Here is a 13076-nt window from a genome sequence, read left to right as displayed (position 1 = left end):
TTTTGTGGCGATTTTTATATTGGCCTTTGATGTTCATATGGGGTCATTAAGCAGTAGAGACAAGGTAAGAAACTTGTTCTTATTTGGGTGTCACTGCATACAGGAGGGAGCACTTGCCTTTTCATAAGGCAAAGTCTTATGATCAGCTTGTGTGCTGTGTGGGGATGTGTTGGCAGTTGTCTTCCTTAAAAATGCCTTGTCAAATATGTTATCCCCATGCTTATTAATCTCCATGGCATTATTTCTCAATCATAATCATTTTCCTTACACACCAGGAGCTACTGTTAATAGACTGCTGCTTCTCTGCATCAGAGGAAATACTGCAAGGTAATTAATATTTGCTAAGGGCACTATGAGCCCTTACCAGAACTCAACTGAAACATTGTTTTCTCTCTTTTCACCCCTAGGAGTACACTATTGATGTATTTTTTCGGCAGACATGGCATGATGAAAGACTGAAATTTGATGGCCCCATGAAGATCCTTCCACTGAACAATCTCCTGGCTAGTAAGATCTGGACACCGGACACCTTCTTCCACAATGGCAAGAAATCAGTGGCTCATAACATGACCACGCCCAACAAGCTGCTCAGATTGGTGGACAACGGAACCCTCCTCTATACAATGAGGTCAGAGAGTGGTGGTTCCCACCCAAAGTATATTGGGAGTAGGACTGGGCTTGAAAGCAGAATGTTTTAGAGTATCCATTGAAAATTCCCTCAAGTGTATAGATTAGAAATGTACAGGTATGTATATACTTCCTAATACAATTGCATGCATACATACTCACAGACATATATATTCTAATAAACACATAAATAAAGAGTTGCATAGATGAACATTTTGAGAAACACAGAGGTATACATTCATGATTTGTATATGCATGCATACCTAAAGACACATGTGGACTAACACAGAAGGACATAATGTATTCAAGGACACTTAAATACACAGATTCACAAAAACATACACACAGGCATGAACGCTGATAATTAGAATTGACTAGGTTTAACTGCAACAACAAACTATCCCTATGATGCAGAGTTGTGAGAATCAAATGAGATAACTATGGGTATTTTGTGAAACATACAGTGTTTTATAAACATAAATTTAAAAATACTTATTTTAATTTTTTATTTATTTGAATATGTTTATTTTATGCTACATTACCTTAGGATACTGAGGATGATAATAAGTGAATTTTCCAAACAATTTAAGATTATATCTCTATCTATCTATACATGGTGTTTATATGTGTGTGCATATGTGTGTGTGTATATATAGATATAGAAATCTTCATAAAATATAAATTATATTTCATACTTTTCCAACTCCCAATGGATAAAAACATCACAATTTTATGTATTTCATAACTTGTTACTGTCATAGAGTTATTAGGCATTGAATTTTGCTGTCAAAAAGAATAAATTTGAAAAAATTTTCAGTGCAATAAGATTCTTTCCCCAATACTGAAAAACATTCTTGGTTTTTGGGTTTGCTTTTTTATGAATTTGCTTGTTCCTCCGATATCAGTTGTCACTTCCTGAAGCTTCCTTCCACATTAATGAGTGCTAATTTTGTGTAGTGGAGCTTCTATGGCTATTTAGAATTGGTGTATTTGTTATTTTGCAGAACAAACCTCAAATAATGCATGCCTGGTAAATAGGTGGTGAATAAATGAAGTGTGTTTGTCTGTATACTAATCTCTCATTACTTCAAATTTGCTATTTATTGGTGTTTTTCCTACAAGAATTTGGAAGATGAGGAGATGGTCAAGGAAAAAAGGATAATACTTCAGAGAGAAGTTGGATGAGAGATGGGAGGAAAAATGAACATAGAGGAGAAATGAGCATAGAGTGGAGGATAAAATAATGAAGAAGGAAAGTGGATAGAAGTGGGAAGATGAGGGTCAAGAGGGGAGGAGAAGACTAATTACACAGAGTACATAGAGGCATGTATATTGGAGAAATGAGAATGGTGAAAAGAAAGAGAGTATGAGAAGAGAGGACAAAAAGAGTAGAGAAGTTGAGAAGACAAAGGATAAGATGGTGTAAAATAAAGAAGCTAGATTAGATATTAGGATATTCTAAAGAGATAGGCGAATATAATGAAGTGGATGTAGTAGATGGGAATAAAGAGGAAAAGACATAGAGAAGTAGGGGAAGGGACATGGGAGGAGATGAACAAGAGGGAGGGAAATTGTAGACGAAAGAAAGAGAAGCTTTCCCTCATTTATTCATTTGCCAAACATGTTTTGACTTCCTAATATATACATGACCCTAAAGTAAATTCTGGAAATGCAAACATTAATGAGACATAATCTCTGTCCTTAAGATAATCACAATATAATAGGGGAGAAAGACTAATAGGATAATAGCAAATTATGTTAACTAAAATGCTAAAGAGATGGGTAGTTATTGGAATATAGAGCAGGGTCATCTAACTCATTGTTTTGGGACAGGTTGAGAGAAGAGTCCCTGGATAAGGCAACAGCTAGGCTTCTGATTATTGGTATTAGCATTAGCATTTTATATTATTATGTAAGTAGAATGCAGTCAAGAAACTTGTAGGTGGATAGGTAGAGGCAGAAGGAAGAGAGGAAGGACGTTCTAGACAGAGAAAACCAAGTGAGCAGTTGCAGGGAATGGAAGGACATATTTTAGGCAAGAGACTGAGGTGGTCAGTTTTCTATTTCATATATGGCTCTGTAGTTACTGGGTAAATAATGCATTTGAAGGTAAAAAGACTGGAATTAGATAAAATGATTAAGAAACAGCTGAAATAGTCTAGATTAGCAGTGGTGTTCTAATTCAGAACAATGGATTAAGATGGAGAAGTGACGATATGTTAAGGAAATCGGCAGTAAATATAGAAAACTTCAGAATGACAGAGAGGAGGAGTTGTGAAGGTAGTAGGTATCCAAATAACATGGGTGAAAGATGGTACTATAGGCTGGAGTAGATGATATGAAAGTTAGGACAAATTTAGATAAGTCTGTGAGGTTAATTTGGGACAAGATAAGCTTAAGGTGATTGTAGATTATCCAGGGAAAGAAGTCTTAACAGCAGTTAGATATTCAAGTCTTAAGATCAGGAGAGAGATACAATGTAGAGATATAAAGTGTGGTATTGTTAGTATATTGGAACAAATGGAAACGTGAAAATGGATGTCATCACTTCAGGAAAGAGTATAGAGTAAGAAGAATTTCATGCCAGGTATCTAGTCATCTAGAACTACTATCAGTAAGGCAGTGGAGGGGAAAGAGGAACCTATGAAAGAAACCAGGAAGAAAATGTCAGGGAGCTGTTAACAATGTGCAGTATCATGAAAGCTAAGTGTGGTAGTCAATATTACCACTTGCCAATATTTTCACTTCACCTCCATCTGGATGCAAAGTAGTACTACACTTCCCTGAGCCTTGAAGTTCAGCATGGACAAATGACTTGCTTTGGCTAACCAAATGTGAGTGTAAATAGTATGTGTCAGCTCTGAGAGAGGATGGGAAGCCCCTCAAGAGCCAATACATAATTTGCCATGTTGCCTTCCCCTGGCCACAGTAAGTAGCATTATGCCAGGTGGTCTTGGCCCTATCATTCTATGCCCCTTATTGAAGATGACATAGAAGCGAGTGGGTCCCACTTCCCCAACCAGAGGTAGTGTGAGTGAGAAATAAACTTCCGTTACTTTAGGACACTGAGATTTTCAGATTGTTTCCTACTGCATATTAATCTAACCCATCTTGACTGATAAATTAAAGTTTCAAAACAATGAGAGTTATCAATAATAACACCACTAATAGTATAAGTATTATTAATTAACATCAATATAGTACTTAAAATATGACAGACACTGTTCTAATCATTCTTTTATAATATTCATAACAGCTTTAACAACAGTATGAGATAGGTACTATTATCCCAACTTTACAGATAAAAAAAAACTGAGACACGACGTGGGTAACAGAATTTTTCAAGTTCACTTGGGTAGTAGATGGTTGAGCCAGCATTATTAATATGGTAGTGTAGCTGCAAGTTCATGCACTTTACCCTGTTTACACATTTTTTACAACATTGTTGGCTATAAAAAGAGATGTAATATAGAGACTTAAAAGTCTGTCTTAAGTTTGGTAACATGGAGGATATTAGTGTTCTTCACATACACTGTTTCAATAGAGTGGCTAGTGCAATGGAGAGTTTTAGGAGTTGGAGTGGGGAGATAGTGCACATAGAAAATACCTTCGAGAAGCTTGTTTGAAAAATGAAAGGGAGGGAGGTATCATAGCTACATTCAGGGGTAAAAGAAATTGCTTTTGTTTTCAGAGGAGAGATTGACACATATTTGTGAGGTAGTACAAAAGAGTCAGTAGGAAGACAAAGATAGAAGATATAGGAGAAATAACACATCGCTGACAGCAAGTTCTCATAAATACCATCAAGGGGATGATATCAAATCTACAGTTAGAGTTTTACTTGAAAGGAAGAGGGACACCTCTTCTCACATTGCATGAAAGGTTATGAGGTTATATATAAATGTTGAAATGAAGGTGGGGAGGATAGGACAGAGAAAAGGTATGAATGAGTGTCATATATCAAGGAGAATTTGGGGAAACAGAGCATTAGGGAAGGAATAGATGGAAGAGAGGCATGCTTGTAATAAATTATAGGAAAGAGAAGAGTTTGAAAAAGAGATAAGAGTTCACACAATTGTGGAAAGAATGGAGTGGAGTATATGTAAACAGAAAAGAAGCTGTATGGAATGAGGTGGATGGAGGGACAGAATAATGAGGAGGAGATGTGGATGGGCAGAAGACAGTAAGCAAATGGAAGAGAAGCAAGAGGAAGGAGAGAGTAATGGGCAGGAAAGGATCTGAACCCAGTAGAGATTGCAAATAGTGAGGAGAAATAGAGAATGAATGAAAAGAACAGGATAGAGGAGAAACAACAATAAAAGGAATAAAGCATAGAGAATAGGTTTAAGTTTTGGAGGAGGGATAGAGAAGAGAGAAGAAAGGAGAGAGGATGGGAATATTGAAATACAAAAAAATAGAAGGTGCAGGTTGAGGAGGGCAGAGGATGAAGCCGAGCAAAGGATTAGTTTCCTTGAAATACAGTTGAATGAATGGGAAGATGATGATAATTGGGCCCTTTATTCTAGTCTGAATTGGACAAGAAAGTCAAGTTCGATGAGATTAGAGTCTATGTAGAATGCCCTTGTGCTTATTCTGTTTTACAGAATAGAGGAAGTACAGAAGCACAGAAGCATGATGAAGCCATCGGTTTCCTACACAGTAGCACCTTGGATCCAGGAAGGTGGGCCTGGAGGGAGACATAGGCTCAAAATGGAAAAATAAAAGCCTGGCTCTTTTTACAGCCCCACAATTGATTCACCTAGTGACCTTTCTCAAGTCACAAACCGTTCACTTTCTCTAGTCTGATAATAATGTAGCTGCTGCCAGTCTTGCAGGCATATGAAAAGCACAAATTGAATAAGGTCTGCAGAACACTTAGAATTTTTCAGAAAGTGTTATTCTATAGCACCCCTATTATTATTTTGACCCTCAGGAATCTTATCTGGAGTCCATGGGAAAACTACAGAAGGACAGCTTCCTACTAAAATCTGAGCAAGCATTGCATGGGTATGTAACTAGGGCAGTTTAGAAAGAAGCCTTGCTTTGCCTCATCTTGGGACCTCAGAACAACCGTAAAAATACAGGCTAAAACCCGTTACCTGCTGCTTACTTCATCAGCACACATACTAAAATTGGAACAATGCATAGATAATTAGCAGAGCCCAGCCCGAGATGATACACACATTTATAAAATATGTTCTATTATTCAGGTATGGATATATAGAAAACTTCATCTCTATTAATGTCATATTATTTGTATATGAGGACACGGGTAAACATGTTCGTTGTATATAAATGTTGCATAATATATAATATAGTAAAAAAGTCCTATTGACTATCTGAATATGAAGGAGAACTATTTATGGAATTTAACTAGATTTTATCCTATTGACTTAAAACATTCATCAGCACATTCACGAGTGCTTACTATGTTTAAAGTTCTGGAATATCTGCTGAGCTACAGAGATAAATAAGGCACAGGTCATGCTCTTAATGACTCTACAGTTAAAGAGACCTGTGCACAGATAGCTGCACAATAATATAAAATTCCTGAAATGGAGGTGCAAAATGTGATAGAATCGCAGGAGAAGTCACATCTAAAATGATATAGGGTTATCAAAGAAAGCTGCAAAAGGAGGTGCTGCATAGTTTGTCCCTTGAATCTTGAAGGAAGTGTAGGTGACTGTCAAACAAATGAGAGACAGGGCTGAGGTAGAGGAGGGTTTTCCAGGCAGAAGAAATAGTATACACAAAGACATGTATTCATGAATCGACATCATGCATCAGAAAATCCATGCTTCTTTGTGAGACATGATAGGGGAAAGAGAGAGTACTATGGGAGCATCTAACAAGGACAGTGAAATGAGTCTGTGGGGTATAGCCACAATAAATTCCAGAGGATATCACCTTCTGAATGATTTCTGAGACCTAAAAGATCTGTAGAAGTAAATTAAAAGACAGGGAGGAAACATTGCAGAGATAGAGCATAGCATGTATAAAGGCTTGAAGAGTGAGAGGAGAAGGTAGTGATGATACATTGAAGGACTAAAAGTTCAGTGTGATTGGACCAGAGTACAGTGCAGGAAAGCAGTCCGAGGTGGGGAGAGGGGCTTATACGCTATGTTGGCATAAACATGATGAGGATCCACTAAAGACTTTATTGCGGAGGAAGAAATCAAACAAATTTGCATTTAAGATAGATCACTCTGGGAGCAGTGTAGGAGGCAGATTAGAGGAAGGCAAGGCTGAAGATGAGGTACCTAGCTAAGAAGCTGCCATAATACTCAAATGATAATCCTAATGACAACTACGTATTATATATACTGTGTATATGTAGTATACTATGTGTTGAACACCTACTATTTGTTAGGTACTTTACGTAAAACATCTCTAATCTTCACAACACTTATTCTAGCTTCATGTTACTGCTCTTTCCACTAAATTAGGTTTTGAGGAAGAATTGTGGGCATACAATATGTTCAAGAGGTAACATTGATGGCACTTGGTGCCTAATTGGAAGTGTGGAGTTCAGGAGGTTGTATGGCTGGTTTCTACAAGTAAATAAGTTGCCTAGGATAATGGAAGTATTAGGGGTGTAATATAAATGATGACCCAATTGTTAACATTTCCGTAGAACAAAGAGGAGTAATAAGATTTTGGAACATGGCAGTGATAAAGGGAGTAGGAAATATAGCCAAATAGCATACCTATTTGGAAGGATTTGTGCATGACAGATGAGGGATGATAGTGAAGAAGTGATACAGAATATGTTTATCCTGTAGTTACAGGGAAGCATTATTGTTTTTACAGATTTATTTATGTTTTGATTGACATATAAAATTGTATTTACTGTGTACAACATGATGTTAAGTACATATACATTGCAGAATAATTAAATCTAGCTAATTCGCAAATGCATTACCTCACATAGTTAACGTTTTGTGATGAGAACACTTGACATCCACTGTCAGCATTTTTCAAGAATGCAATATATCGTCATTATTGTCAGCTAGTCACCATGCAGTATGATAGATCACTTGAACTTATTACTCCTACCTAATTATAAATATGCATCCTTTGACCAACATAATGTATTTTTTAAAGTGAAAGACATGACAAGAGAATTTGTGATAACACAAGTTGCTGAACCCCAAAATGAATAACAGTTCAAACATGATAGAAGTGTATTTCTTGCTCCTTAAATTTCAAAGCAGGTGTTCCCCATTGACAAGCGGCTCATTTCCAAGTGGTGCAACACATGGTTTTCTTTTTTTTTTAAATTTTATTATTATTATACTTTAAGTTTTAGGGTACATGTGCACAACGTGCAAGTTTGTTTCAAGACCACTGTGCTTATTTGTATTAAGTCAGTAGAAGATGAAAGAGCACGACAGATTGTATATGGGAGGTATTTATAGACCAGGCCTTGAGTGGCATACTCATGTCTACTGACGTTACTTTAACTAGAATGAGGTCACATGGACATGGTGGGAAAAGAAACATTACCAAGAAAATGAGAAAGTGGATTTGGTGAACAGTTGGCAAGTGTTTGCCAATCCCAGTTTTTTTTTTTAAATTGAAATCCCTGGTTGCATTCTGGAAGATAAATAGAAATACTAGTTAACAGACCCTTTCATAGTCCAGGAAGGAATGACAGAGGTCCAAGAAAAGGCAGTGAGAAGTGAGAGTGGAAGAAGAAGGGCAAGTATAATGAGAGACGTTTTCAATAGATGTTGAAGTCCAACTGGATATAGGGTATCGAGGAAAAAGGTGCGTTGAGAATGTCCCTGACATATTCTCCCTGGATACTGAGTGAATTATTAACGACAACAACCACCACAACAAAAACTCATTATAGGAGAAGAAGGAGATATTTTGGAGAGAGGAGGGGTTAGAGAGTTTACATATCTTGGGGATTTGCTATATGCCACCTGTTGTGCTAGTTGCTTCACATGTATTTGTTAAATTTAATCCTCACAGCAATGTTCATGTGTATATACTACAGAAGCATAATATAGCATGGTTATTAAGAAGGTGGGTTCTGCAGTAAGACTGCTCCTGGTCCTTCCTCTGTAAAATAAGGCAAATCATAACAATGCCTGCCTCATAGACCATTGCAGGAAGTGAATGCGATAAGGCATGTAAATTGCTTGATATACTTCTTGGCATTCTGTGAAGTGTTTTCATTTTTATTGTTAACATCCCTATTTTTACACTTAGTAAACTGAAGTTTCAATAGAGCAAACTCACACCACCAATAAGTGGCAGAGCTGGTATAGAGACCCAAGTCATTCTGCTAGTGAAAACCTTTTTTCCCCTTTACATCCCATCATTTCCTCTAATAAGGGAGGGTGTGGCCTATCAATTTTAAATAACAAATCTGAAGTGGACACGACAAGCTGCAGTTGGAAATGCAGGTCTGGAACTCAGGAAAACATTGACACAGTGGGATTTTGTAAAACTGAATACATTGCACAAAATGTCAGCTATGGGTTACGTTACACAGTAATAGTGTCCTGCATTTAGCTCAAAGGAAATAGGCGCTAGTTTCTCCATGTTTAATAATCAAGAGGAAAGTGGTGCTCTGAACCAATTGAGTGAGGGTTGCTATCATATTGAGACCATGAAATTTTTTATTGTATGACTGAGTCAGTTTTATGTGCTTTGAATATTCCAAAGACAAACTATGTGAAGGCTAAATTCTGCATGTCAGGAGCCCTCCTCCCACAAACTTCATCAGTAAAATTCTTCTCCTACTTATTTAGATGCAAATGGCTTGCACTTGTGTTTTCATTATAGACTCTGCCTCTGAAATGGCCAGGAACCAGGGAAAGCATTTGGGCCACACTGTTAGTTGTATAGGATTTAATGTAATCAGATCAACCAAGCATTGATAGCTTGTTTCACACAGTCTTTTTTTTTGTAATGGCTTTTGCTCTAGGGGATTCCACCTGTAGTTTCTTATTCATTAAGCTAGCAACTGACTCACAGAGCCACACTTAGTGAATCTCACTCTAATGAACAGAAGTAAGAGCATAGAAGAGATGGAGTGGTTCATTTTGGTCTCTGAGAAAGCTTACAATGAGGTGAGAAGGAAATAATGGTGTAAGTCCTCAGTCAATCCCAAATTACTGTGTGCACTTCATGCAAGGACATCAGCTCCTGCCCTCCAAGAGCTCATATCTTAGGAGGAAAGACAGGGCACATCATTCACTGTACCAAAAGGCATAATGGAAGTTTCACATAAAGCTAACAGTGAAGTGCTATGTGCTAAAAATTACAGGATTCACTGAAACTTGGGGACATGGACCCAGATGTGTGGCAGGGCTTCACAGGGGAACTAACATTTGAGCTGGAAGGTGGGGAGGAAAAAAGTATTCCTGAGAAGTTTCCTCACATTTATTTCATTTTTGCCAGTTCCATGTGGAAATCATGGCCTTGAAATAACAAGGACTGCCTTTATTCTCCAAGCAAGAAACTGGTCTCCAGGCAAATTGAGTCTGTTTAAAAGTTCATTCTAACAGAGGGATTTACAGGTCAAAGTAAGTGTCCCTCTTGTTCCAAAGAACCCAGCTATTTTAGATGCTACCCCTAGACAGAGTAGAAACTCTGTTGTAATGGAATAAACATCAGAGAAGGAATTAAGAGCCATGGGTGTGAATCCCACCTTTGGAACAGATCAGCAGTGTAACCATGGACAAGGCATTTCTCTTCTCTGGGTCTCGGTCTCTTCTTTTGGGATACATTGCTGAAAATACCTGCTCTGCCTATCTCACAGAAATATTTATTAAATCAGGAAACAGCTGTCAACCATCTGCTATGTGCCAATTACCATACCAGGGATGGGATTACAATGATGAAGAGACCACTCTCTCAAGTTGCTTATAGTCCTGTGCAGAAGACAGAGAGCTAAACAGACACTAATAATCCTATGTGGTAACGTCTAAGACTGTTGTCCAAAGAGCCCTTAGATTGCTGTGAGCTGGAGGAAACCACAGTACTTGTAGGGCACAGACGAACATCATGGAAGAGGGAATATTTGAGAAAAGACTTGAAGGAAATATGTTGTGCCTATAAAAAGGAAAGGGTATTCCAGGCAGGAAAAAAATGTATGAAAAGACACAGATACATGAGAGTTTTGTTTTGTAAAATTATAAGTTTTTACAGATGGCTGGAGAATGGAAATGAGGTTGGAGCTACACCTCTGAGATAATTGTTAAAACTCAGATGTGCTCCCTCTGAAGGCTAAATGGAGCAGTAAAGTGGTGGCCCTCCTTCCTGCGTACTGAGCTTCTTGTCTATAGCTTGAAGATTTAATGGGACACCTCAGACAACTGGCATTCTCGTGACTAATGTGCTGCTTGGTTTGGGTGTTTGGTGGTAGTATATTTCAAGTGACTCATGCTGTACTGATAATGGCTATTAATGATTTGTTATTCTTTCTTTTTCACCATAAATCCCAAATCCTGCCCTTTACTCCATTATTATAGAAATAGCTGGCCTGGCACCTCAACTGCTCCTGAAGCAGTGTTATTTGTCCTTAGAGAGAGCATTCCTAAGAGTTCAGAGTAGGTTGTTCCACTTCGAGAAGGCCTAATTGACAGATTGCTTTCGGTATGGCTCATACTGAATTCCAGAGCCCCTTGTTCTCCTACAAAGTTCAAACTGTTCCCTCCTACATTATACTTAAACACAGTGATAGCCTCACTGAACAACCAGTACATATATTCAATAAACTTTAGATTTTTAACCTTTAGGATTCTAGTTAGTGTGGGAACCTTTTTTCTCTAACCTTATTTATGGTTTTCTCCTATTTTATGCCCTTATTTAAAAAATAATCAGTATTCTATGTGCAAAAGTCTAAGAATGATTTGATATTTTTCTGTGGGGCAGTTAATTTAGGTGACTCTTTCATTCAATTAATTTTGCAGATTTTTTTAATTCTTTAATTGAGATATAGCTTGCATATTTTAAAGTATACAAATATTATGTGTATAGCTCCGCAGTATTCTGGATAAGGAATATGTGCTAGAGGTTGCTGCATTAGAAGGGTAAAGTAATGGAGAAGTAGCTTATGATAACCAGAACCTCACTTTCCAGAAGTGTCACTCTCCGTGGGTCGAAGGCAAATGGGCACTGTCTTAATGCATTTGAACTGCTATAATAAAACACCTTAGACTGGGTAATTTATAAACAACAGAACTTATTTCTCACTGTTCTTGAGGTCAGGAAGGCCAAGATCAAGGCTCCAGTACATTCAGTGTCTAAAGGCTACCTCTCTGCTTCAAATATGGCAACTTTTTGCTGTGTCCTCACATGGCAGAAGAGACTAACATTTTCCTTTAGGTCACTTTTATAGGGCCAGTAACCCCATTCAAGAGGACAGAGCCCTCCTGACCTAATCACTTCTCTAATGCCCTATCACTTAATACTATCACATTAGTGGTTATATTAATATTTCAACATTTTAATTTCAGGGGGACACAAACATTCAGACCACAGCAGGCACTGAAGACATGGATGTAACAGTTTCTGAGTTGGAAAATTTACTCATTGGGTTAGTGTGTTGCATGGATTTCCATCAAAAAGCAAATGACTTACATGTGGTATTCAATCTAGTTCAGGAGACAAGACATATGTACCAGCAAAAATATCCTTAATATGCAAAGCACTGTATAATAAATGCAAAGTAAATACTGGCTTTTGTATCAATGGTATAATAAAATGTTAAAAATCAGCAAATCATACAGTAAGAATAATCTCTGATATGTTTGCTTGTTTTGAAAATGTACTTAGGTATTTCCAATAAAGATGAGATAAGGGCACCAAATAGCCAAGTCACTAATTTGTCTCTATTCCAAAGGTATAGAAAGAAATTATTTACCCTGTGACTTTTAGTCAATAGCAGGGATTTTGAACCCAATGAGATGGCATAGCATAATTGCTGGACCAAATGTTTCAAATGACCATATGCAGTTTATGGTTTACTGCTTGCTTCATTTCCCCTCCCTCCTTCAAGATTCTGATACATATACCTTCTGCCTGAGATGTGTGGAGAGTCAGTGGAAAGACATGAACCCAGTATGCTGAATCTCAGTCGTTAGACTTCTTGTCTTCCCTAGATACATCACTCCTTTTGTAGTATCATCTAGTCTTAGGGCTTCAATTAGCATCTGCAAGGTGTTAGCTAACAAGACACAGAGAACTGAAGTAACTTACACATAGCTACTACTACAAGCTGGGTTCATGGTGGACCTGGGTTTTAAATCTGGCAGTCTGGCTTTGGAATCCATGCTCTGTTTATAATAAATAAATAAAAATAATATGTATTTATGGTGTACAACAGAATGTCTTGATATATTTATGCATTGGGGAATAGCTAAATCAAGCTAATTTTCATATGCATTACCTCACATCTCAATTTTTGTGCTGAGAACACGTAAATTCTG

The 13076-nt window shown here is 37.5% G+C and overlaps 1 protein-coding gene and 1 pseudogene across 2 annotated transcripts in view; both read left to right on the top strand.

The window, feature by feature from the left end:
- GABRA3 (gamma-aminobutyric acid type A receptor subunit alpha3) overlaps positions 1 to 13076 on the top strand; it is a 285082-nt gene that overhangs the window by 194910 nt on the left and 77096 nt on the right. For both annotated transcript variants that reach the window (XM_006724811.4, NM_000808.4), the window contains exon 5: positions 408 to 628. In XM_006724811.4, coding sequence (XP_006724874.1) covers positions 408 to 628 — 221 coding nt within the window. The remainder of the gene's footprint in view (positions 1 to 407; positions 629 to 13076) is intronic.
- RNU6-764P (RNA, U6 small nuclear 764, pseudogene) lies at positions 5730 to 5834 on the top strand (annotated as a pseudogene).

The sequence above is a fragment of the Homo sapiens genome, chromosome X, assembly GCF_000001405.40.
Source record: "Homo sapiens chromosome X, GRCh38.p14 Primary Assembly".
Taxonomy (NCBI): Eukaryota; Metazoa; Chordata; class Mammalia; order Primates; family Hominidae; genus Homo; species Homo sapiens.
The sequence above is the reverse complement of the archived record's forward strand: the minus strand, read 5'-3'. Positions and strand labels throughout refer to the sequence as shown.